Genomic DNA, 20,589 nt, shown 5'->3' with positions numbered 1-20,589 from the left:
CACCTGGGTAATTTTTAAAATTTTTTTTTGTAAAGACAGGGTTTCCCTATATTGCCCAGGCTGGTCTGGAACTCCTGGGCTCAAGGGATCCTCCCACCTCAGCCTCCCAAAGTGCTGGGATTACAGGCAGCCATGCCCAGCCAGGGCAGTCATTTTTATGCACAACTTTCTGTGGGGCTCAGGTGCACCTATGATACATAAATTTACAGTTCTTGATCCCCAAACAGAGCAGGAGGCAGGGTGCCTGGGCCAGGCTTCCTTTGGGAAATGTGGTCCTTGAGGTAGAGTCACAGATGCCGGAGGGTGACCAGCACTACTGGGGAGAGATCTCCTCTGGGAGAGATGCATGCCAAAGGTCCTCTGCATTCCTCATACCTCTCTGAAAAGACAGGAGGGGGTGTTAGGCGACATTCAGTGGCAACGGGTGAGGGTCAGGTGAAGAGTGAGGCGGAGAGCCCTTCCTGCCTCAGCCCCTGTTCCTGCTTTGCCCTCTTTCTATACTACACCCCACCACCATACAGACATCCCCGTCTGCCCCCTCCCAGGCCAGCTTCCCTCCAGCACTTACGATGCGGACAGAGGGGTGTCCAGCTGAATGATGTGGGGCCCCCGCATCCTCTGCAGCTGGGCCCGAGTCAGCTTCCGTGGCCTGCTGTCCCGGGGCTCCTCGGCCCCCTCAATCCTTTGGCTGGCCAGCTCCTCCCGGATCTCTCTGAGCATGTCCTCAGCCCGCATTGGGCGCAGGGATGTGTGGCCAGCTTTCAGGAACAGAGGCCCCTCTTCTTCCTCCTCCCCTGAGGACTCCCAGGGGCTTTCCCCGGCAGAGTCAGCATGGGTTGGGGAGGAGGGAAGCTGGCCCCGAAGCCGGGCCCTGTGGAGTGTTTCCACCACCACATTCCCTCGCTCGGAGGCCCCATCTTCTTCCTCAGACCAGGTTGGTGGGTCTTCCTGGGGAAGACTGCCTCCTTTTAGGATTCCTTCCGGCAGTTCGGGGGCGCTTCGGCGTTGAGGAGCTTGGGGGTCGGGAGGGTGGGGACGCAGAGGGATGTCCCGGAGTTCCAGGGTGGAGAAGGTGAGGCGAGGGTCCCGCCGAAGGGCTCTTTGGCGTAGACGGCTCAGTGGGGAGCGGGACCCCGTGGGGGTGCCTGGGATCAAAGTGCCGTAGCCAGAGTCTGAGGTATCATCTGGCACAAGGGGAGCATCTTCATCTGTGTCTTCTGTCACCACCAGGTGGGGGATAATGGTCGAGAACTCAGGAGTCCTACAGTTAATGGCAAAGAGTCAGATGCGTAGGGGTCAAGTTCAAGTCCAGGGAGTTTCCCTTGATCACTACATCCAGAAATGGCCCCTCCTCCAAACTTATTTTGGTATCATCTTTCCATCGCACTGTGATTGTTTTTCTCATCTGGCTGGCTAGATTTTAAGCTCCTAAGAGAGTACGGGCTGCCTCTATACTGTTTTATCCATAGCATCTGGTCCAGGATCTTGTATCGAGTGGGTAGTCAGGTTTTTGCTGAGTGGTTCCTGAACTTACCTGATATTATCCTCAATGATCGATTCTTCTTTTCTCCTTAAGCTGCTGCCAAGCAGTGGTGCTATCCTAGACGAACCTCACACTCCCCGGGGATTTGGCAGCTCTAATATTCTGCAGATCCACACCTACCTTCACTCTCGAGCTTGCTCCTCTCACAGTGCTCCTGTGTGACTCTAGGCAGGCTAACTCTGTAGGCTGTCTGTGCCCTATCCCCCACCTCCAACCCAACACGGCTGGTACCAACCTTCCGACCCAACACAGCTGGTACCGAGCTTCCCTACCCTGCCCTACGCCTGCGTTCCTCTATCTATTCCCAATTCCACCAAAAATGTGCAGTAATGCCATTTCTCAGCCTTATGGCTCCCTCCTCCTGCTCGGGGAGACCTTGTAGTCCGTGTGAGCCTTACCTCCCCTCTGCGCTGCTCTGAGAGCCCTCCAGGGAAGGCGTGGAGGGCCTGGTGCTGGGGGACTCCCTGTCCTGGTCCCGATAGAGGGTCAGGAGCTCCCTCTTCTGTTGAACATACTCCTCTGCCTTCAGCTTCTGTAGGGCGGCCTGGGACAGGACACTTTCGTTATTAAGAGCTCTCATTTATTGAGCACTTGCTGTTTGCCAGGCACCCTGCTAAGTGCGTTACATATATTACCTTATTTTATTTTATTATTATTATTATTTTTTGAGACTGAGTCTTGCTCTGTCACCCAGACTAGAGTGCAGTGCCACAATCTTGGCTCACTGCAACCTCCACCTCCTGGGTTCAAGCGATTCTCCTGCCTCAGCCTCCTTAGTAGCTGGGATTACAGGCGCCCGCCAACGTGCCCGGCTAATTTTTGTATTTTTAGTAGAGATGGGGTTTCACCATCTTGGCCAGGCTGGTCTCAAACTCCTGACCTTGTGATCCACCCCCCTTGGCCTCCCAAAGTGCTGGAATTAGACGTGTAAGCCACCGTGCCCGGCCTACATTACCTTATTTAATCTTTACAAAAACCCCATGAACCAGATATTTTTACCCCACCTTACTACTGAGACATGGAGACTCTAAGGTTAAGTAACTGTCTGAGGGGGTACTTCTTACCATAAGAAAGTGGGGTGGTGCCGGGATTTGGTGGCACCAAACTCTGGAGCTAGTGTTGGGGGTGAGTGGGGTGAACAGAATGGCCCTTTTCCTACCTGTACAGGTCTTCCTGCTTCTCATGTCCCATTGGCAGACCTGTTATCAGGTCTTCCCCCTCCTTCAGGAAGCCCTCCCTGGTTGGTGGTGATGGTAGAATAAGTGTTCTGAATTGGTACTGGTTGCTCCTTCAAGAGCATCCCTCTCCTACCACCTGGGCCTCTGCCCTGAAGCTGGGAGGAGCAGGAGGGCAGAACGTGGGCAGAGGTGGGCTTTGTCCCAGGCTGAGGACTCTGCTGTCCTTCAGAGGGAGGAAAGTTCCTAGAAGGCTGAGGAGAGGACGCATTATATTATCTGCCTTCTCCCTCCCTCAGCGATTTCATACAGGTACCATCAAAAGGAAATAGCGCCACCTGAGAAAAAATTTTCAAAGCACTTTTGCACATGTGGTCATTTGATACACATCATTGCCCTGTGGTGTGGAGAACATGAATGTTAGCCCATTTTACAGACAAGAAACCTAGACCTAGAGAGGTGAAGTGACTTGCTCAAGGTGCCACAGGTATGGAGAAGCAGAGCTGGGACAGGGCCTTGCTCTTTGAGTCCTAGTTCAGTCACTGCAACACTTTCAAGGACAGCCTTGAAGGGTAAAGAGTTACAGAAGGTCGGTTGTTGGCTTGGGGAGGGGGAGGGGGAGGGAGAGGGAAGAGAAGGTGGCAGAGCTGAGGTTGGAGGCGGAGGCAAGCCTTGGCAAAAGGGAGGTACTGGTGGCTGCTGTGGGCAGCACTGATATCAGGACTTGCTGGTATGGCCATATCCTTGTTAAAATATTGAAGTCTTCCATGCTGGTAAGGGAATGGCTGCTGCCTGGGCCTCAACCACTTCCCCCATCCCCATGATCTAGCAACTAAGGGAGATAACCTCTGGCACAGCAGAGGACCTCTAGTGCAGCGCTCCTTTCTGATTGGTTGATGCCCATGCTATACTAATTGTTAAATATTTCCACTATCTCCCCAGCTTGAAGTATATGAGCCAGCAACTCCTGGGCACCTGGACTTTCCCAAAGCCTCTCAAGAAACCCGGGGAGCAGCTGGGTCAGGACAAGAGACGAAATGGATGAACAGGGATAGGAAAATGACACCAGGCTTATAGTTCCCATTCTGCTTTTTCTGGCTCTCCAGTCACTTATTCCCAAGGCTGACAGCATTCTCATAAGATGTGGTCTGTTGGCCGGAGCAGGGGAGGGTACCTGGGGGTAGGAAACCTGCCAGGGCCGGGACCTGGGGCAGGACTCCCTCTTTCCCAGGCCTCATCTCCCAACTCCATGTGAAGGGAGGGAAGAAGTGAGAAAAGAGAGGGTGGAGGCGCTGGGCCGATCTGCTTGTCCTGCTGGGGTGCCCTTTTGCCCCACAGGACCCAAATTCAGGTTTGTGTTTCGGGTGCCAAGGAAGGGATGTTACGGGAAAGAAGAACTGGAAGGAAGCAGGGTTTCTGTAAGGGACGTTCAATGCCATCATCTCTGCTAAACTTGCCCCTTGCCCGACCCCAGGAAGAGGCTGGAGGAGGCGGCGGGGGGGGGAGGGGGGCGAGGGGGAGCCCCGAGTACGGGGTAGGGGGTCGGGGGAATGGGCGGGATGGGGCTCTTGGAGGTGCCTCCCAGCGAGCCCAAAGCCTCTCCAGCAACCCTGGGAGAATTTTCTCGGCTTGGTTAAGAGGAGAGACACATGGGGGCAGAGGGGACGGGAAAGGAAAAGGAAATTGGCGCTTAAGCCAGAATGTGACCCCCCTACAAAACTGAGAAGAGGAAGGGAGGGCCCCTAGCAGGATTCTTCTTCCTTTGTACCCATGGAGAGGAAATGCCTCCTTTCCCTGCTGTCTCTGGGGTGGCTCCTAGATTCACCCACTCTCCTCCCAGAACTCCCCAGTGCCGGACTAAAACCGAACTCTGAAACGTGCCCACTGACTTCCTGAGCAACAGATGCGGATGCGTTTCCCCAGTCAGCAGCAGGCCCTACCCAGGCCCCAAAGACCACCCCTTTCTTCTAATGATGACAACGGCAAACATTTATGGAGTGCCCATACAGTGCTGGGCCTTGTGCCTGGCCACTTGCGGACTGTCTGTCCTGCGTGCACTGCAACTCCCCAAGAGGTGAAGTAACTCCCTGACAGCTGCTCGGGCCTCTCCTTCAGACCCTGGCTCTTAGCCTCGGCTGCCTCCTTCAGTCTCCCTGCTTTAATTTCTTGGTCGCCATCTCTGACGGCTCTTTCTGTTCCTGTCTCTGTTCCTTTTCCTCTTCTCAGTCCCTGGGCATTCCCCAAGATTCAGTCTCTTCTCCCTGGAGAAGCTTACTTTCTCTAAAAGTGTGAGTCATCACAGCTAGACCCGCTAGGAATAAATCTGCAAGTCAACGTTTCTGCCAGGGTGAGAAAACAATAGTCTGCCCCCTGGGGATTGCTCTATGAAAGGGACCAACAGAGTTTCTACTGCCCTCTTCAGTGTATAAAGACTGATGGCTCTAGAGAGGATTCCCTAATAATCTGGTGTGAGACAATAGCAGGAAAAGTCATTTCAAAGTTTCAGTTTTCTTTGTTTTGCTAAGGAAGGCCAGGGAGCCTTGGTGCATATCTTGGTTATAGATCTTGACAGATCTTTCCTGTTAGCCTGGAGTGAGACTACCAGGGGACTGAGTTGTTTTGCATAGTAAAATACCCGTAATTTTCAGTAGCTCTTGGGATTCTGAAAGGGAGAAGGTGAGAGTCTGGCTGTTGTTCTGTGACTAAAAACCAAAAAAAAGAGGAGAAAGTTCTGAAGGTGGAGGTGGCAGTTCCGAAGGAAAAAAGGCAGCCTGCCATTCACTGCCAGCCCCACTGGCTATCCTGGGGAGTTGGGGCTCTAGGGACACCGATGCCACTAGCTTGCGCTTTTGTCCCTGGGCTCCCCCTTGAGCCTCTAGCCTTCAGGAAAATGTTTTATTTAACTTTTTTTTTTTTTAGACAAGGTCTCACCCTGTTGTCTGGGTTGTAGTGCAGTGGTGGGAACATAGCTCACCGCAGGCTCTATCTCCCGGGTTCAAGTGATCCTCCCACCTCAGCCTCCCGAGTAGCTGGGACTACAGGCATGCGCCACCAGGCCCAGCTAATTTTTGTATTTTTTGTAAAGATGGGGTTTTGCCATGTTGGCCAGGCTGGGTCTTGAACTTCTGGTCTCAAGCCATCTGCCTGCCTCAGCCTCTCAAAGTGCTGGGATTAGAGGAGGTGAGCCACTACGCCTGGCCAAGAAAATTTGATTAACCACCAGAATGATGTCACTTGCCAGTCAGTCCAGCCTAGTGGAAAGTGTGTTTAGGCTTAGGTGGAAGTGGTGGAGAGAAGTCCCTGCCATGCAGAGGGGACAGTGAACCGAGCCGGAAGCAGGGGACAGGGCAGATGGGAGACCACTGTCATCACAAAACCCACCTGCCTCCCCTTGGGGTGTGTTTTTTGTCCTCCTCTTTCACTTGAATTCCAGGTCTTTGTTTCTGTTTCTTTTGTTCCCAAAGCCCCTAAGATATCTCCACTAGGTTATATCTTGGCTGCCTCAATTTCAAAGCGCTGCTGTTTAAATATTCCTACAGTAAAGCCACCTCACTGAGGAAGCAATAACTAAACAAACACATTTCCCTTTCCCTTTCTAATGACTGCATTTCTGTCTGGGGTCCCATTGCCAATGCAGTGTTCCAAACTGAAGCTTCGGGAGGCCAACTGTGCTCTTTGCCGCTGGGTATCTGGAGTTCCTGAGCCTGTGCCCAGTGCTGGCCCCAGGCTGTGTGCCTAAGCCGAATGACAGCTTTGAATCTCCCTAGGAAGCAGGTAGTCATTGTGTATATCTGTTTTGCAGATGACGAAATTGAAGTTGAGGGAGGTCATATAACTTACCCAAGGTCACATGGCTAGGACCTGGTAGGACCGGTGTCTGAACCTGGATTTTTCTGAATTCAGTATAGACTTTAACCAAAGTATCCCTAAGGCTCCCCCTTCTCTTCCCTCTTCTTTTTTTTTTTTTTTTAAGACAGAGTCTCGCTCTGTCGCCCAGGCTGGAGTGCAGTGGCGCGATCTCGGCTCACTGCAAGCTCCGCCTCCCGGGTTCACGCCATTCTCCTGCCTCAGCCTCCCGAGTAGCTGGGACTACAGGTGCCCGCCACCGCGCCCGGCTAATTTTTTGTCTTTTTTAGTAGAGATGGGGTTTCACCGTGGTCTCAATCTCCTGACCTCGTGATCGGCCCGCCTCGGCCTCCCAAAGTGCTGGGATTACAGGCGTGAGCCACCGCGCCCGGCCTCTTCCCTCTTCTTTAGGTCCTTTCTTCTCCTTTGTTTTTTGTCCCTTTTTGCAATGTCTCCCTAAGGCTGTGGCACTAAACCTTCCATGTTTCACACCCAAACTAGTACAATAAACCTCCTGTCACCAATTTCTCCCTCCTCCAGCCCACCCAGCACACTGCTACCTGATTTCCTGAAAACCTAATTCAAGAGGAAACACACTGATTTCACCCTTGCTCAAGAATTCATGGCAGGGCTATGCACGGTGGCTCACGCCTGTAATCTCAGCACTTTGGGAGGCCGAGATATGCAGATTGCTTAAGCTCAGGAGTTCAAGACCAGCCTGGACAACATGGAAAGACCCTGTCTCCACAAAAAGATGCAAAAAATTAGCCAGGTGTGGTGGTACACACCTGCAGTCCCAGCTACTTGGGAGGCTAAGCTGGGAGACTCACTTGAGCCCAGGAAGTTGAGGCGGCAGTGAGCTGTGATCATGCCACTGCACTCTAGCCTGGGTGATGGAGTAAGACTCTGTCTCAAAAGAAAAAAAAAAAGAATTCACGGTGGCTGTCTCTTGTTGACCCTATTTAACTCAAGCGCATCCAGGCCACAGGGTTCTGCAGCTCTGAGATTCTGCAGAATCTGGCCTCTTACCACGCACTCACACAAACACTGTGCTCCATACTTAGGCAGATATGGCCGTCATTCCAGAAATATATCCAGCCCAGCTGGTCCTCTGATTCTGCTGCTCATGGTCTTCCTATCCTTAAAAGTCTAACTCAAATCTTCACTTCTCTTTGGCCATTCCGTTCCTGTGGTGGGTTGAATAGTGGCCCCCCCAAAAGATAGATATATCTAAGTCCTACCCTCTGGAACCTGTGAATGTGACCTGATTTCGAAAAAGAGTCTTCGCAGATTTGCAGAGATCCTAAGAGCTCAAGATGAGTTCTCCCTGGATTTAGGGTGGGCTCGAAATCTAATACTCACATCTTTGTAAGAGAAAGGAGGGGGAAATTTGGACACAGAGACATACAGAGAGGAAGGCCATGGGAAGACAGAGAAAGAGTTTGGAATTTTGTTACCACAAGCCACGGAACGCCTGGGGCAACCAGGAGCTGGAAGAGGCAAGGATGGATTCTCCTCTAGAGCCTCCAGAGGAAACTCAGCTCTGCCAACACCTTGATTTGAAACTTCTGGCCTCCAGAACTGTGAGAGAGTAAGCTTCTGATGCATTTTAGGCCACCAAGTTTGTGGGACCTAATACAGCTCCATTTGCATCTCTCTTCTTTTGAACTCCTCCTGCTTTTTATCTGCTCACATCACTCCCCTGCCCGACTCCTTCACTGGCCCTCTGTCATCCAAAGGACAAAGCTCATCTATAGGATGCTTTATCATGACATGCAGAGATGGGCATGACCTGGTGGCACCTACCCCCTAGCCTCTCCCTGCTGCGTCTACTCTTGTACTTGATACTGTAGCAATACCAATGGGGGCAGTTCTCTCAACACACACAACTGTTTCACAGTTCCCGCCTTTGCACGTTCTGCTCCTCCATGTGGAATGCCCTTCCCTTCCACCCTGACTCCCTGACATACTCCTAGGTATCCTCCCAAATGGTGCTCAGACATCAGCTCCTCTGTGTCCCTTCCAAACAGACCCAGCAGACAATGCCTTGCTCCCTTCTCTGTCCCAGCTTCATTCTACATAACTTCTCTCTATTGTTTGTATACTAATTACTCAACCAGGCTGCAGCACCTAGGCCTTGAGGGCAGGAATGGTGGTTTACTCTTTTCTGATTCCCTAGCACCTAGCTCTAGTGCCTGCCGTACTCAGCAAGTGCCCTGTAAATGTCTGCGAATGGAAGATGACTTCTAGAAGTTAATCATTTCAGGCTGTACAAACCTTCAGGGGATGCTGTATCTTGGGCTCTCCCAGTGGCTGGCACAGTAGCTGGCCAAAGGCTTTTTCTGTCTTCTGATGGATGGTGGAGGCTCTGCCTCCCTCTCTGGGGCACATCAGATTGTCCAGTCTGAAACTGAATCCACCCCAGCCTCTCTCCTCCTCCCCTCTGCGCTCCCATGTTCATTCGTTCCTTCCTTCCTTCCTACATTCTTTTTTTTTTCCTTCTTCTTCAGGGTCTCACTCTGTCACCCAGGCTAGAGTGCAGTGGCACGATCTCAGGTCACTGCAACCTCCACTTCCCGGGCTCAAGTGATTCTCCTGCCTCAGCCTCCCAAGTAATGGGGACTACAGGCACACACCACCACGCCCGGCTAATTTTTGTATTTTTAGTAGAGACGGGGTTTCACCATGTTGGCCAGGCTGGTCTCAAACTCCTGACCTCAGGTGATCCACCTGCCTCAGCCTCCCAAAGTGCTGAGATTACAGGTGTGATCCACCACTGTGCTCCCATTTCTGAGCTCCGGGGACCCCTGCCCATGCCTCCCCGTTGCTGGCTTTCCCATACCTGGGCCTGCTGGGTCTTCTCCAGCCACTGGGCACGGTCTGTAGGACTGGGACAGTGCACAAGGAGGGCGCTGGAGACACACTGGAATTCAGTGAGGTGGATCAGCAGGAAGCTGTCTGGATGGAGGAGACAACCTTCAAGAGGCCAGCCTTTATTTGATCTCCGTCCCAGCTCCTCCTTCCCCTCGCTGAGAAGAGGGAGAAGAAAAGACTCCCTGAAGGAAGGACGTACTGGGGTCTCGCAGGGGTTGGCACACGAGCTTCTCCAGCATGAGAGGGGGTCGGATGACCTTGGCTTTGTCCGCCTTGCGCTGGGGCTTGGTCACAAGGAGCACATCAGAGAAGAGGAACAGGTACACGTCCAGCTGGGGGTGGGGGCGTAGGGGAAAGAGACAGGGTCAGCTGGAGCCAGGGGCAGGGCTGGTCCGGGAGGAGGCTCAGGCATGGTGCGCAGGCACACAGGGACACACGCAGAGCCCAAATGCGGGAGTGGCCAGGGGCGTCGCTTTGGTCACATCTCTCACTTTACAGGCAGGCAAAGTGGCTGGCTCAGGGTCACACAAATGACTGGGGCTTAGCCAGAACCACATCCTCTTCCCCAAACCCCTCTTCTCCCACTTCCGGCGTTTCTGCCTCTTACCTTCTCCCACCGTGCCCCATCCCCTCCACTCTGTCCGCAGCACCCTCACCTTCCCTTCTCGTCCCTCCTTCACTCGCACAGGCCCCTCCAGCAGCAGCTGTCTGGTGTGCTCAGATGCAACCCCCAGCATGGGGGACGTCAGGTCCAGGGTGGAGAATGGGCGCAGGTTCTGAGGGACACAGAGGGGAGGGGTCAGGGCGCTCGGCAGTCTGCCTGGACTTCCTGGCCAAGGGCGGCTCCTGGTTCTGCCACCAACACCTTTCTGTTTGTATCCTTCCCCCATGGGCTAGAGAAAGCCTCCCAGGGCCTCCTTTTTGCTCTTCTGACCTGTACCCCTTGGACTGTCACCACCAGGTAGGAATGATGGACACCCTTGTAGCACCCAAGTACGGGGTGTTCTGGCCTTGCAGCCCTCCCCTTCACCAGTATCCCTGGGACCTTGCTTTTCCTGGGTCCCTTCCCTTTGCCCTCTCACCTTCTCCACCTCATCACTGGGTGGCTCCAGCACCTCGTAGGGCCCGATGCGTTGTGCTGCAGCCGCCAAGCTCTCTTGCTCTTCGCCCTGGCGGACCTGCCCATTGATGTGTCGCAGGAATGACTCCACGGCTTCAATCTAGGTGGGGTTGGGGGTGTGGGAGGAGGGACGGCTCAGCCGTCCCCTCCCAACCAATGCCAGCCACAGCACAGCGCCACACTGTCACAGACACACTAAGAAAGAGACCCCCCTCCCAGTCCCCGATTCACCAGAGTCCCAGCCCCACTGGGGCACCTACCATGGCATTCAGGGCCTCTTGGGCTCGTGCCTCGGGGCTCCTCTTGAGCACAGCATGGAGCAGCAGTGGGTACTTGGTGATGCGCTGGTGGGGCTTGATAAGCAAGTCACAGAGCATCTGCCTCCCAGAGCGCTTGTGCTTCTCACACCACTGCAGGGAAGGTGGGTGGGGCTCAGGGTTTGCTCCCTCCTGCCCTGCCTAGTGGTGAACTCAGCCTCAGGCTCAGCTGGAGACCGGCCGGCTAAGATGCACCCGTCCCCCTCCCCAGCACCCCTTCTCCCACCTGCACGAAGGCATGGAAGAGAGGGTTAGTTTCTTGCTGTTCTCGGGCGTAAGCCATGGTCTGCTTCACTCGGAGGCAGTACTGGACATAGGGGTGGAACCGCTGGCCAAACTGGAGAGACAGATACGGGAGGTGGGGAGCAGGCATGGGGAGAAGGCCATGAATACAGGCTCTAGCTGCAGGACCCAGGAGCAGGTGAAGAGAGCCTCGCAGGGGCCCTTAGCCCAGCTCCTGACAGTCCCTCCCTCCCAGGATCCTCCCAGGAATGCTCTCGAGGCTACGCCCCTTTCTCTGGATTCCACGAAGGAGCCTGAGGTCCCGACACTGACCCAGAGCTCTCTGAGCTCCCTCTATCCACAGTGCTACTGGGGCCTGCTGCTCTGGACTTACTCTCCCACCATCGATAATTCAGCTGGACCGTTGTCAGGACATTGCAGATCCCATTTCACCCTGGGGGTGGGGTGGCGACCTAAGAGTTGGCTCAGAAGCCTTGCTCCTATGGAGGGGGTACCTAAGGCTCCCAGGGGCAGTACGCCTACCTCTCTACCCCACTGCAACTTTTTCCTGCAGGGCCCACATTTTCCTGGCTAGGTAACATTGTAGAAGAAAGTCGGATCCTAGGCCCTCTTGCTTTCTCTTGTCACTCTTCTCCGTGCCCCGGGTGCCTCCTGTGGCCTTTTACACCCACCCAGGTCCTCCTAAGGGTCCCCTCACTTAGGCCTCATTTGCTGCACCCAGCTTTTGTAGTTGATGGGAGCCAAGGTGTGACCCTTCTCTGAGACAGCTGCATTTTCATTTCATAAAGGCCTCCAGAAGAACAAGGAGCCTGTGGCACAGAGGTCAGACTTGTGGCATGAAGGGAGGAGGTGAGGTGATATTAGGGGTAGGGGCTGTGTCCTGCGGCCCCTCAAATCACAGAGATTTGCATACTGTGGGCATGCCCTACACACAGGACCCCCGAGGGCTCCGAGTCCTGCCCCATCCAGACACAGCCCTTCACAGGCCTCACCGTCAGGAAGCCACTTTGCAGACCAATGGGGTCCAGAGGCTGGCCCGAGGCCCGAGTCTCCTCCAGGGTGGGCCCCAGCACCTCATCCCAAAAGCTCCGGTGGGTTCGAATCAGGCTGGGGACATTTCCAAACAGGGTCTCAGCTGACACCTGGAGGAGGGAGCAGAGCTGAGCAGCACACTTTTGGAAGGTCCCCAGGGGTGGCACTGGCTGAGGAAAGGTGAGGACCTTAAGCTTGGACAGCAGGGGCGGGGGTGAAGAAGGATGAACTGGGCACTGGGCCTGGAAGATCTCAAGGATGTCAGTCTGAGAAATGGGGGGCCTGTGGCCTGCTTGGAGTCCCCAGTAACAGGGAAGTAGGGAGGGCAAGGCATCCCAAAAAACGGGGCAGTGGGAATTCAGACAGGGATGGCTGGAGGGCCCACCCTCATCCCCAGGCTCAGAGGTCGGGCTGTGCCAGGGTCCCCTCCTGAGCACCCACTCACTTCCATCAGCAGTCCCACTCGCTGCAGGTTCAGCAGGCCGGCGGCTAGCAGCTGCAGGGAGGGAGACGAGGGTCTCAGGACCCAGCGCAGCCCTTCAGTGTCGTCACCTCCCACCCCCCACCAACTTCAGTACTGCTGACCTATCTCCCTGCATCCCAGACTGGCCTGAAATCCTGCCCCTCCCTCCCCCAGTGACCTGCCTTCCAGTCTGGGAGGATGGGGGCTCATGCAGGGAAGATGGGGCCGGGGCTGGGGCTGAGGGGGGCTCACATCAGTCATGATCTTGAGCTTTCTCACGTAGATCAGCTCGGTGGTCAGGAGCTCCCACAGGGCCTCCTGTTGGTGGCAGAGCTCCTGGCTCATCTCCTGGGGTGGGGAGAATGCTGGTTCAGTTGGGGAATGATAATTAGAATGGCAAGTACCAGCTGTTAAGTGCGACCGGATCCACTTCATAGGTTCTAGGCACTTTGTGCATGACCATGACCTTTTAATCCTCAAACCAGTGCTCTGATGTGTAGGTGGTATTATCCCCACTTTACATATGTGGCAACTGAGGCCCAGAGAACTTTACTGTCTTGACCAAGGTCTGACTAGTAAGTGGCAGAGCTGGGATCTGAACCCAGATCAACGCGTTTCCAGATGTTTTTTCCACATGACCCCACTTCCCAAGGCCTTTCCCTCCTCTAGAGCAGAATCTGTGTGTGCATTCACGCCGTGGGGACAGACTCACCTTGTGAGTTTCAGGCTCACCTTGTGCCCAGGCACCAGCTCCCTCCAGGACTTCTCGATGGTCAGGCCACTGTCGCCACCCTCTCCTATCTCCCAGTGCCGCCGGTCCTCAGGGGGCAGCCGGGGCATCCCAAACATGCTGAAAGTGTGCAGCCTCACCTCCAGCTCATGGGCCTTGGTGAGTTCCTGGGGGAGCCGAGAAGGGCATCAGCTCTGGTCACATCCTTGGCACCCAGCCACAGGGCCCCGGGAGGGCTGTGTGTGTGTGCATGTGTGTTAAAGTGTGTGCGTGTGTCTGTGTCTGGAATGGGAGATGGCAAGCAGCACTGAGTATGAGTGGGGACATGGAGGCCTAGAGAACAGGGGTCGGCCCCAGCTGGAATTCCAGGGAAAAAGGCATTGCTGGAATGTGGGTGAAGAGGCACCCTGGTCTGTGGAAAGGTCCCTGGAGAGGGGTCTGATCTAGGCTCCCTGACAGGAAAGAGGCCTTCCATGGGTCTCCTGAATCAGAATGAGGTGGGGGAGGGACAGAAACAGACACTTCAGAGGGACCTTCAAGTGAATCAGAACAAGACTTAGAGAACCAGTGGTCTCAGGCACCACTTTGACATTTGCCTATAAAATGGCATTTTTTATGAAGCAGCATGGCTTACATTTTACAGGTTTCTTTTTTTTTTCCTTTTGAGACAGAGTTTTGCTCTTGTCACCCAGGCTGGAGTGCAGTGGCGCAATCTCGGCTCACTGCAACCTCCACCTACCGGGTTCAAGCGATTCTCCTGCTTCAGCCTCCTTAATAGCTGGGACTACAGGTGCCCGCCATGACACCCAGCTAATTTTTTTTTACATTTTTAGCAGAGACGGGGTTTCACCATGTTGGCCAGGCTGGTTTCGAACTCCTGACCTCAGGTGATCCGCCCGTCTTGGCCTCCCAAAGTGCTGGGATTACAGGTGTGAGCCACCACGCCCGGCCCATTTTACAGGTTTCTTTGGTACCAAGAATGTGAGCAATAGACACTCCTGACCCTCACTCACTCCATCTGGATGTGGCTTGGGAGGAGAGGTGAGGCTCACAGTGGCAGTGAAGGATGATGTGGCACTGAGGATAGAGAGAGCATACCTGACTCTCAGCAACTTGGTAATTTGACTTGGTAGTTTTCAAAAACTGAAAGCTCAATATCAATCGTTTATCCACATTTAATCAAAGTGTCTCAAGTCAAAGTCCCTGGTTGCCATGCATGGACCAAAGAGAGATATATCCCTGAGAGGTCCTAGGCAGAGCCATGTCTGACTGGCAGGCAGCAGCCTCCTGGACCTGTGTTCTCAGCTCCCGGAGCTTGCTGGTCATCTGCGGAGCCATCACAATTGGGGCCGTATGTGTGGGGATGGGAGGAGAGGGACCCCCTTACCTTGAGTTTGGGGGAGTGAAGCAGGCCAGCCCCCACATGGCCCCCGTGCCTCTTCTCGGGCTCTGGATCTCGCAGTCTCATGGGTGACAGGCCTCGGGCCTGGCCAGAACCCCTGGCAAAGGGGACATACTGCTGGAGGCGTCGGCGACTGGGATCCTGGGAGAGGAGCAGGGGAAGTTCTGGGGGTGCCTCCCTTTCCCCAGAAACCCCAGAGAGGTAGTAGGGGGGCAGGCTTGGCTCTAGATGTTGTTCCCCCACCCTGGTAAGTCGGGCTGGCTCACTTCTCCCTGCAAACCAGTTTGGTGTGGACTGCTCCTGCCCTGAGTCACAGCGGCCACTGCCGGCAAGGCTAAGCTGAGTGGGCAGAGGCAAGACAGCCTGGCTCCCTGAGTGGGCCTGGGGAAGAAGTGGGGCCTCCTGCCGAGCAGGTGCACAGCACACACATGCCTGGGCTCTGGTGTGTGTGCCCCCACTGCCTCCTGCTCTCCGTACCATGGGGGGTGCATGGACAAGGCGTGGTGCACACAGCATTCTGGTCTCTCGTAACTCTCCTTGTCTATGACCAGCCTCCCTCACACATGGGGACGAGGGCACTCACATGTGCAGCCTTCTCCCCAGGGGCGTGCAGCCTGCATCCCATCCAGCTGGGAGTGGCTGCCCTTCTGTGTGAAAGGCTGAAGCCACAGCCACACAGCTCCTCCCAGGGCAGGCCTGGTCACATTCCTTCATTTGCCTGTGGCCTGAATTACCCCACATACTTTCTAGTCTCCCTTCTCACCCACAGCCTAGGAAAGTCCCATCTCCAAAGGCAAAATTATCGTGCATTGAGGCAGGGGATGTCCCAGCCACAAGCAGAACTGTCCTCAAGGTGGAGGGGAAACCTGCAGGCTGAGGGACAGACCTGGCTTCCACACCCCTCTGCTTGGTTAGGACTGGAGGAGAGCCAGGCAGGTGGAGCCAGGGGTGGAGCCAAGGCAGGCACCCTCCTGTCCCTACCCACCACTGGAGGAGTAGGGACACCCTGAACCTTTGCTCATCTTCATCCTGACTCAGGGAGAGGCAGATCTCAGGAAGGCCTCAAACTCCTGCCAAGCAGAGGCGGGAGCCTGGGAGGCGCCAGCTCTGGGGTTTGATGACCTTACCCGCAGCTCTTTGTCTGAGACCTGTCTAACAGCACTCCTCGGAGGGCCTGGCTTCTCCTGGCTCCGCCTCTCCTGCCCAGCTGCTGGGACTGGGGTGTGATATCCCTGGAGCCTGGCCCTGTCACTGCCCTCCTCTTTCCCGCAACCCAGGAAAGAAGAGTAGGGTAAGGGGCAGGAATAGCTCAACCTCTGAACCTGTAAGGGGACAGAGACTCCACAGCCTAGGTGTCTTCCCTCCTGCCCCACCAGGTCACTTTTGGGGCACAGCCTGGACTCACCAGCACAGGGTATCCTCGGGGATAGAGTCTGCCAGCAGTGCTCTGAGCAGAGGCTCGATGCCGGCCCCCATAAGTCTCAATGCGGGAGGCCACGAGTCCTTGGAGGGGGCCCTCATGTGGAGGACCAAAGGCCTTCATCCCTTCTCTCCTGGGTCACCTCCAAAGGGCCATATCTTCAATGTCCAGGAGAAAGAGGTCCCCTAGGGCTGCAAGAGAGAAAAGAGGAATGGAAGGGCCATCCCCAATCAGTGAATGGCACCAGGCGGGAGACCAAGGCTGGTAGGGGGCCTGGGAGGGAGGGTATAGTGGGGGAGGAGAGGGCCAAGGGCTTGGTCACTTGTTGGGGGGAACATGGCTGCCTCATCTATGACTTGGTGGGAGTAGGGTAGGTCCAGGTACATATTGGGTAGGAAGCCCCTTGGAGATGTACCTCCTCTCTCACATGTGTGCATATTTGGGGTACAAGCTCCTGCACTGGTCTCAAATGGGAACAAGGGTCACAGACAGGTCTCGGGCTTTCTGGATACACCCAGGTGGGAGGGTTCTCCTTGCACCTAGATATAACCCCATCCCCTTCCCCATATAAAGCTTGGGAAAAAGCTGGAGGGAGGCCATGGTGGGTGGGGTGGGCTGGGAGTGGGGGTGGCTGGAGACAGCCCAGTCTGCCACCAGTTTTTGTACAGCCTGTAAGCCTTTACATATTTACATAGTTGAAACAACTGCTGCCCCCCCTGCAAAAAAGCCACCAATATTTTGGGACAAGTAAATATTACATGATATTCAAATTCAGTGTCCATAAACACAGTTTTGTTGGAATCCATCCTCTTCTGCTGGTCTCCTAATAACCTGTGACTGCTTCTTGCTAGTTGGGACAGACGGTGTAGGCCGCGAAGTCTCTAATCTTTACTGTCTGGCCTTTACTGAAAGGCTTGCCCATCTCCTACCTGAACCCTCCTGACCACAGACAGGGAGGTGAGTGGGGCCAGCTGTCCGGCCACTGCCCTTAGAGACCAGCCAAATAGAATTAGAGTTTCTCCAGTTTCGGGCTATATATTTGGTCCTCCCCAGACTCTGGGAATACCACCATGGAGCTGGGGGCCAGGCGTGGGGCTCCATCCCTCCCCCCTAAACCTGGAGGGAGGGCCCGCCCTCGAGTGGGCAGGGCCTGGAAGAGGAGAGGCCTCCTAAGGGGCGGTGGGCTCAAGAAGGCTGCGCAGGTGTTTGTGCCCCGACCGGGTGGGCCTGAGGTCCTGCCTCAGCCCTCCCTTACCTTCCTCCGATTCAGGAGCAGAGGAGGAAACGTTCGCTGTCCCTCCTGCCGCCTCCCAATAGTCCTCCCTCTGAGGGCGCTGTCTCCCTCGCACTGCTCCCTACCCAGGGTCCTGTCTCAGCCCAGCCCCCGGCTCCCCTCCTCCCGCCTTCGGGAGGCCAGGCCTTCCTTCCCCTTCGCCCCGGCTTCCAGGCCCCGGGTCCCGGCCGCCCCGCCCCCGGGCCGCGTAGCCCTCCCGCCGCTCACCTGTGCCCACAGGTGTCACCGCACCCGCTGCCCTGCGCCGCCCTCCCCGCCCGCGGGGCTCCCCGTCGCCGTCGGCTCCCCGGCGATGCCAGCCAGCCCCGATGCCCAGCCTGGGACTGGGATCGAGCGGCCCGCGGGAGCCGGGCAGCGCGGGTCCGGGCGAGGAGGGCGGGGACCGGGCTGGCCCCTCCCTACCGCCAGCACCGCTCGGGGCAGAGGGGCAGAGGGGCGGGGCCCTGGGGACCGAGCAGCCCCCGCCCTCACGCAGCCACCGCCTTCCCCGGAGAGGACAGCTCACGTGGCGGTGCCCTCCTTTCCCCTTTTCGGTCGCACCTGAACTCGACACCCGCCGGCCGAGCGGGAGGGCTGGGACCGCGCGCCCTCCACTCCGGGCCAGACCCCCGCGAGGCGCTGCAGTAATGAGGGCTGAGTAAGGGGCGGGGCGCCGCCGGGGGAGGCGGCGAGGGTGACAACCTGTGGCAGGCACCCCTCTCTCCTGCTGGTCGCGGCGAGTGGCCGGCCGTCCGGTCCTCCCCCTGCCTCGGCCTAGACCCCTAAGCAGGCAGGGAGCCCGCCTGCCAGCTGGAGGGGCAGGGGGCCCCGTCGCTGTGTGGAGTCCAAAGTGTGAGCCTTATCTCTCAGAGGACCGGCTGGCCTGCCTGGTGGAAGGTGATACTGGAAGGCTATCCTGGACTTTGCCTTTGCTCCAGGGATAGGCAGCTGAGGCCTGACCCGCACTTCTCCTATGACCTAAGACTCAGGTGGGGGCACCCTCCCAGTTCACCTGCAAATAAGCCCACTCCCGGCTACACCAGGGTCACCCAGCCCTTGCGGTGGCTGCTAAAATAGATGCTGTGGGGCCAGGCGCGATGGCTCACGCCTGTAATCCCAACACTTTGGGAGGCCGAGGCGGGCGGATCACAAGGTCGGGAGATGGAGACCAGCCTGGCCAATATGGTGAAACCCCGACTCTACTAAAAATACAAAAATTAGCTGGGCATGGTGACGGGCGCCTGTAGTCCCAGCTACTTGGGAGGCTGAGGCGGGAGAATCGCTTGAACCTGGGAGGTGGAGGTTGCAGTGAGCCAAGACAGCACTACTGCACTCCAGCCTGGGCAACAGAGTGAAACTCCATCTCAAAAAAAAAAAAAAAAAAAAAGAAAGAAAAAGAAAAAGATGCTGTGGAAGGACTGACACATGCTGGGCATTGCATGAAAGGACCATACTTTATTTTCTTTATTTTTAAAATTTATTTTTTAAAAAGAAAATAGAGACAATATCTTGCTGTGTGGCCCAGGATGGACTCCAACTCCTGGGTTCAAGCGATCCTCCTGCTTCGGTTTCCCCACCTTTTCACTTCTCCAAATCATGGCACCTCGTCTGACAGAAGCACTGGATATTTGAGATAGAAGTGTCCTGTGGATGTGTGGTCATTATAATCTCACAACCATGAAACCCAAGACCCTGTAGTTGGCAGGTGGCAGGTCTGAGGCTCCCAGCCCCTCACCCTGACTGTGGTCTATTTCCTGCCAATGAACTCAACAGTGATTGATACGGCTCCTTACTTCTTCAGAGCATCCTGAAGTTCAGGAAACACTTTCAGAAGCAGAATCTCCTTGAGTTGCCAGGGGAAAAGGCCTCTATTCCCTTTTCCCATCTAGGCTATGAAACGCATACATGATCAGAGTGTTCTAGTCCTCACTCGGACTCTGGTGACTCTATTTTGTTTGGAGGAGGAATCTATATCTTTGGGCAGTTTCTAATTTTGTATTCCCTGTGTCCATCCTCAAATCTGCCCTCTGGGATTCTCTTTCTCTGAGCTTGCTGTTGTGTGATTGCTCTGCTGGTTCAGAAGTGTCCTCTGTTCCTCCAGCTCCTTGAACCAGCCTGTCTCCTGCTCCTGGCCCAGCTGGTGGTGGGACTAGTTTTCGGGGGTGAAGTCAGGTGGGAAAGGAACTGCAGTGGCAAGAAACCAGAGTGTGCCTAGTTCCTAGCCCTTCCCTCTTCCCATTCACTGTGTGTGTGTGTGTGTGTGTGTGTGTGTGTGTGTGTGTGTGTGTGTGTGTGTGTGGTGAGAGCTAGACAGAGATAGAGAGATGTCCAGGGATGACAAGAGTAGCCATGAGGGAAAGAGTTAATAAGCCAGGAGAGGAGGTGGTGATTACGGACAGTATTAAATGACACCCCAGAGACAGCTGGTGCCAATGGCCCCTAGCTTCTCCTCCCAGTGTCTCCCAGAAGGAGTGGGAAGGAGGAATAAGAGGGAAGATGAAATTGAGAGAGCACCAAAGACAAGCCTGGGCTTACAGTGCTCTGGGGTGAGCTGGCTAGAGGGGCCCAGTGGCAGGTGGTGGTGGGTGGCGGGGTGGTTAACCCTTTCACTTCCCTCTAGGCGTTGAGGTCCAGTCTCCACCCACTACTGCCCCAGGGCCTGTCTTCAGCCTCCCTGGGAGGAGAGGTTCCCAGGGCAAGCTGGAGTCTAGAAGCCAGAGGTGTGGCCGGGCACAGGTGTGTGGCCTAGGAGGCAGGCCTCCATGTTCTGTTTCTTCTCTTCTGTCACTCTCACAGTCTCCACTTCCATGACTCCTCTGTGCTGCGGAGAGCACACTCCTATGGCAGGCTGAGGGGAGCATTCTCAGGGAGCTGAATGAAATGTAAAGAATTGGGAGGCTGGAGGCTTGGCCTCTGCCAAGTGAGGCTAGGGGCCATCTGGTCCTTGGACCAGAGTATGCCATCTGGATACTTCTCTTTATTCCTGGTTATCCTAGCCTTTCCTCACATGTCTAGCTTGAGTCATATGCCTCACTTTCTCCCAGGTAAGATGCTCCTCATTAGGCCCCTGGATTGACCCCATAACTGATGGTAAAGTGTGTGTCCACGGTCAGAGCTCTGAGGATCAAATGCTTCTGTCCAATAGCAGCCT

The 20,589-nt window shown here is 55.5% G+C and overlaps 1 protein-coding gene across 17 annotated transcripts, besides 9 other annotated features; it reads right to left on the bottom strand.

Moving 5' to 3' along the window:
* Positions 9–18,183, bottom strand: PLEKHG6 (pleckstrin homology and RhoGEF domain containing G6). Of its 17 annotated transcripts, none has more exons than NR_169278.1 (17): positions 17,667–17,833; positions 16,151–16,356; positions 14,731–14,886; positions 13,346–13,510; positions 12,866–12,961; positions 12,596–12,646; positions 12,111–12,260; positions 11,102–11,212; positions 10,819–10,968; positions 10,521–10,658; positions 10,095–10,214; positions 9,638–9,770; positions 9,407–9,522; positions 8,842–8,944; positions 1,942–2,087; positions 569–1,261; positions 9–379 (listed from the first exon to the last, which is right to left on the bottom strand). NR_169278.1 is itself a non-coding variant. In NM_018173.4 (16 exons), the coding sequence occupies exons 2-16, from the start codon at positions 16,286–16,288 to the stop codon at positions 370–372; spliced, it is 2,373 nt and encodes a 790-aa protein (NP_060643.2). In that variant the 5' UTR covers positions 16,289–16,356; positions 18,000–18,183; the 3' UTR covers positions 9–369. The 17 variants fall into 17 exon arrangements, 15 of the variants coding, with proteins under 15 accessions (NP_060643.2, XP_047285025.1, XP_047285026.1 ...); NR_169277.1 differs by having other exon boundaries at positions 14,731–14,842; NM_018173.4 differs by lacking the exons at positions 8,842–8,944; positions 17,667–17,833 and adding an exon at positions 18,000–18,183.
* Positions 3,419–3,958: an enhancer, noted in NCBI's record as "H3K27ac-H3K4me1 hESC enhancer chr12:6433723-6434262 (GRCh37/hg19 assembly coordinates)". NCBI's record gives its function as "activates a minimal SCP1, AML or CMV promoter by ChIP-STARR-seq in primed H9 embryonic stem cells {active_cell/tissue: H9 hESC(primed)}" and the evidence as "EXISTENCE:reporter gene assay evidence [ECO:0000049][PMID:30033119]".
* Positions 3,959–4,500: an enhancer, noted in NCBI's record as "H3K27ac-H3K4me1 hESC enhancer chr12:6433181-6433722 (GRCh37/hg19 assembly coordinates)". NCBI's record gives its function as "activates a minimal SCP1, AML or CMV promoter by ChIP-STARR-seq in primed H9 embryonic stem cells {active_cell/tissue: H9 hESC(primed)}" and the evidence as "EXISTENCE:reporter gene assay evidence [ECO:0000049][PMID:30033119]".
* Positions 4,944–5,033: an enhancer, noted in NCBI's record as "active region_5846". NCBI's record gives its function as "activates an Ori minimal core promoter by ATAC-STARR-seq in GM12878 lymphoblastoid cells {active_cell/tissue: GM12878}" and the evidence as "EXISTENCE:reporter gene assay evidence [ECO:0000049][PMID:35858748]".
* Positions 5,042–5,583: an enhancer, noted in NCBI's record as "NANOG-H3K27ac-H3K4me1 hESC enhancer chr12:6432098-6432639 (GRCh37/hg19 assembly coordinates)". NCBI's record gives its function as "activates a minimal SCP1, AML or CMV promoter by ChIP-STARR-seq in primed H9 embryonic stem cells {active_cell/tissue: H9 hESC(primed)}" and the evidence as "EXISTENCE:reporter gene assay evidence [ECO:0000049][PMID:30033119]".
* Positions 5,084–5,153: an enhancer, noted in NCBI's record as "active region_5845". NCBI's record gives its function as "activates an Ori minimal core promoter by ATAC-STARR-seq in GM12878 lymphoblastoid cells {active_cell/tissue: GM12878}" and the evidence as "EXISTENCE:reporter gene assay evidence [ECO:0000049][PMID:35858748]".
* Positions 9,225–9,844: an enhancer, noted in NCBI's record as "H3K4me1 hESC enhancer chr12:6427837-6428456 (GRCh37/hg19 assembly coordinates)". NCBI's record gives its function as "activates a minimal SCP1, AML or CMV promoter by ChIP-STARR-seq in naive H9 embryonic stem cells {active_cell/tissue: H9 hESC(naive)}" and the evidence as "EXISTENCE:reporter gene assay evidence [ECO:0000049][PMID:30033119]".
* Positions 15,368–15,677: an enhancer, noted in NCBI's record as "active region_5844". NCBI's record gives its function as "activates an Ori minimal core promoter by ATAC-STARR-seq in GM12878 lymphoblastoid cells {active_cell/tissue: GM12878}" and the evidence as "EXISTENCE:reporter gene assay evidence [ECO:0000049][PMID:35858748]".
* Positions 17,887–17,936: a silencer, noted in NCBI's record as "silent region_4159". NCBI's record gives its function as "represses an Ori minimal core promoter by ATAC-STARR-seq in GM12878 lymphoblastoid cells {active_cell/tissue: GM12878}" and the evidence as "EXISTENCE:reporter gene assay evidence [ECO:0000049][PMID:35858748]".
* Positions 18,299–19,019: an enhancer, noted in NCBI's record as "H3K27ac-H3K4me1 hESC enhancer chr12:6418662-6419382 (GRCh37/hg19 assembly coordinates)". NCBI's record gives its function as "activates a minimal SCP1, AML or CMV promoter by ChIP-STARR-seq in naive H9 embryonic stem cells {active_cell/tissue: H9 hESC(naive)}" and the evidence as "EXISTENCE:reporter gene assay evidence [ECO:0000049][PMID:30033119]".

Source organism: Homo sapiens, chromosome 12 (genome assembly GCF_000001405.40).
Source record: "Homo sapiens chromosome 12, GRCh38.p14 Primary Assembly".
NCBI lineage: Eukaryota > Metazoa > Chordata > Mammalia > Primates > Hominidae > Homo > Homo sapiens.
Note: the sequence above shows the minus strand (reverse complement) of the source record. Positions and strands in the feature narration are given on the sequence as shown.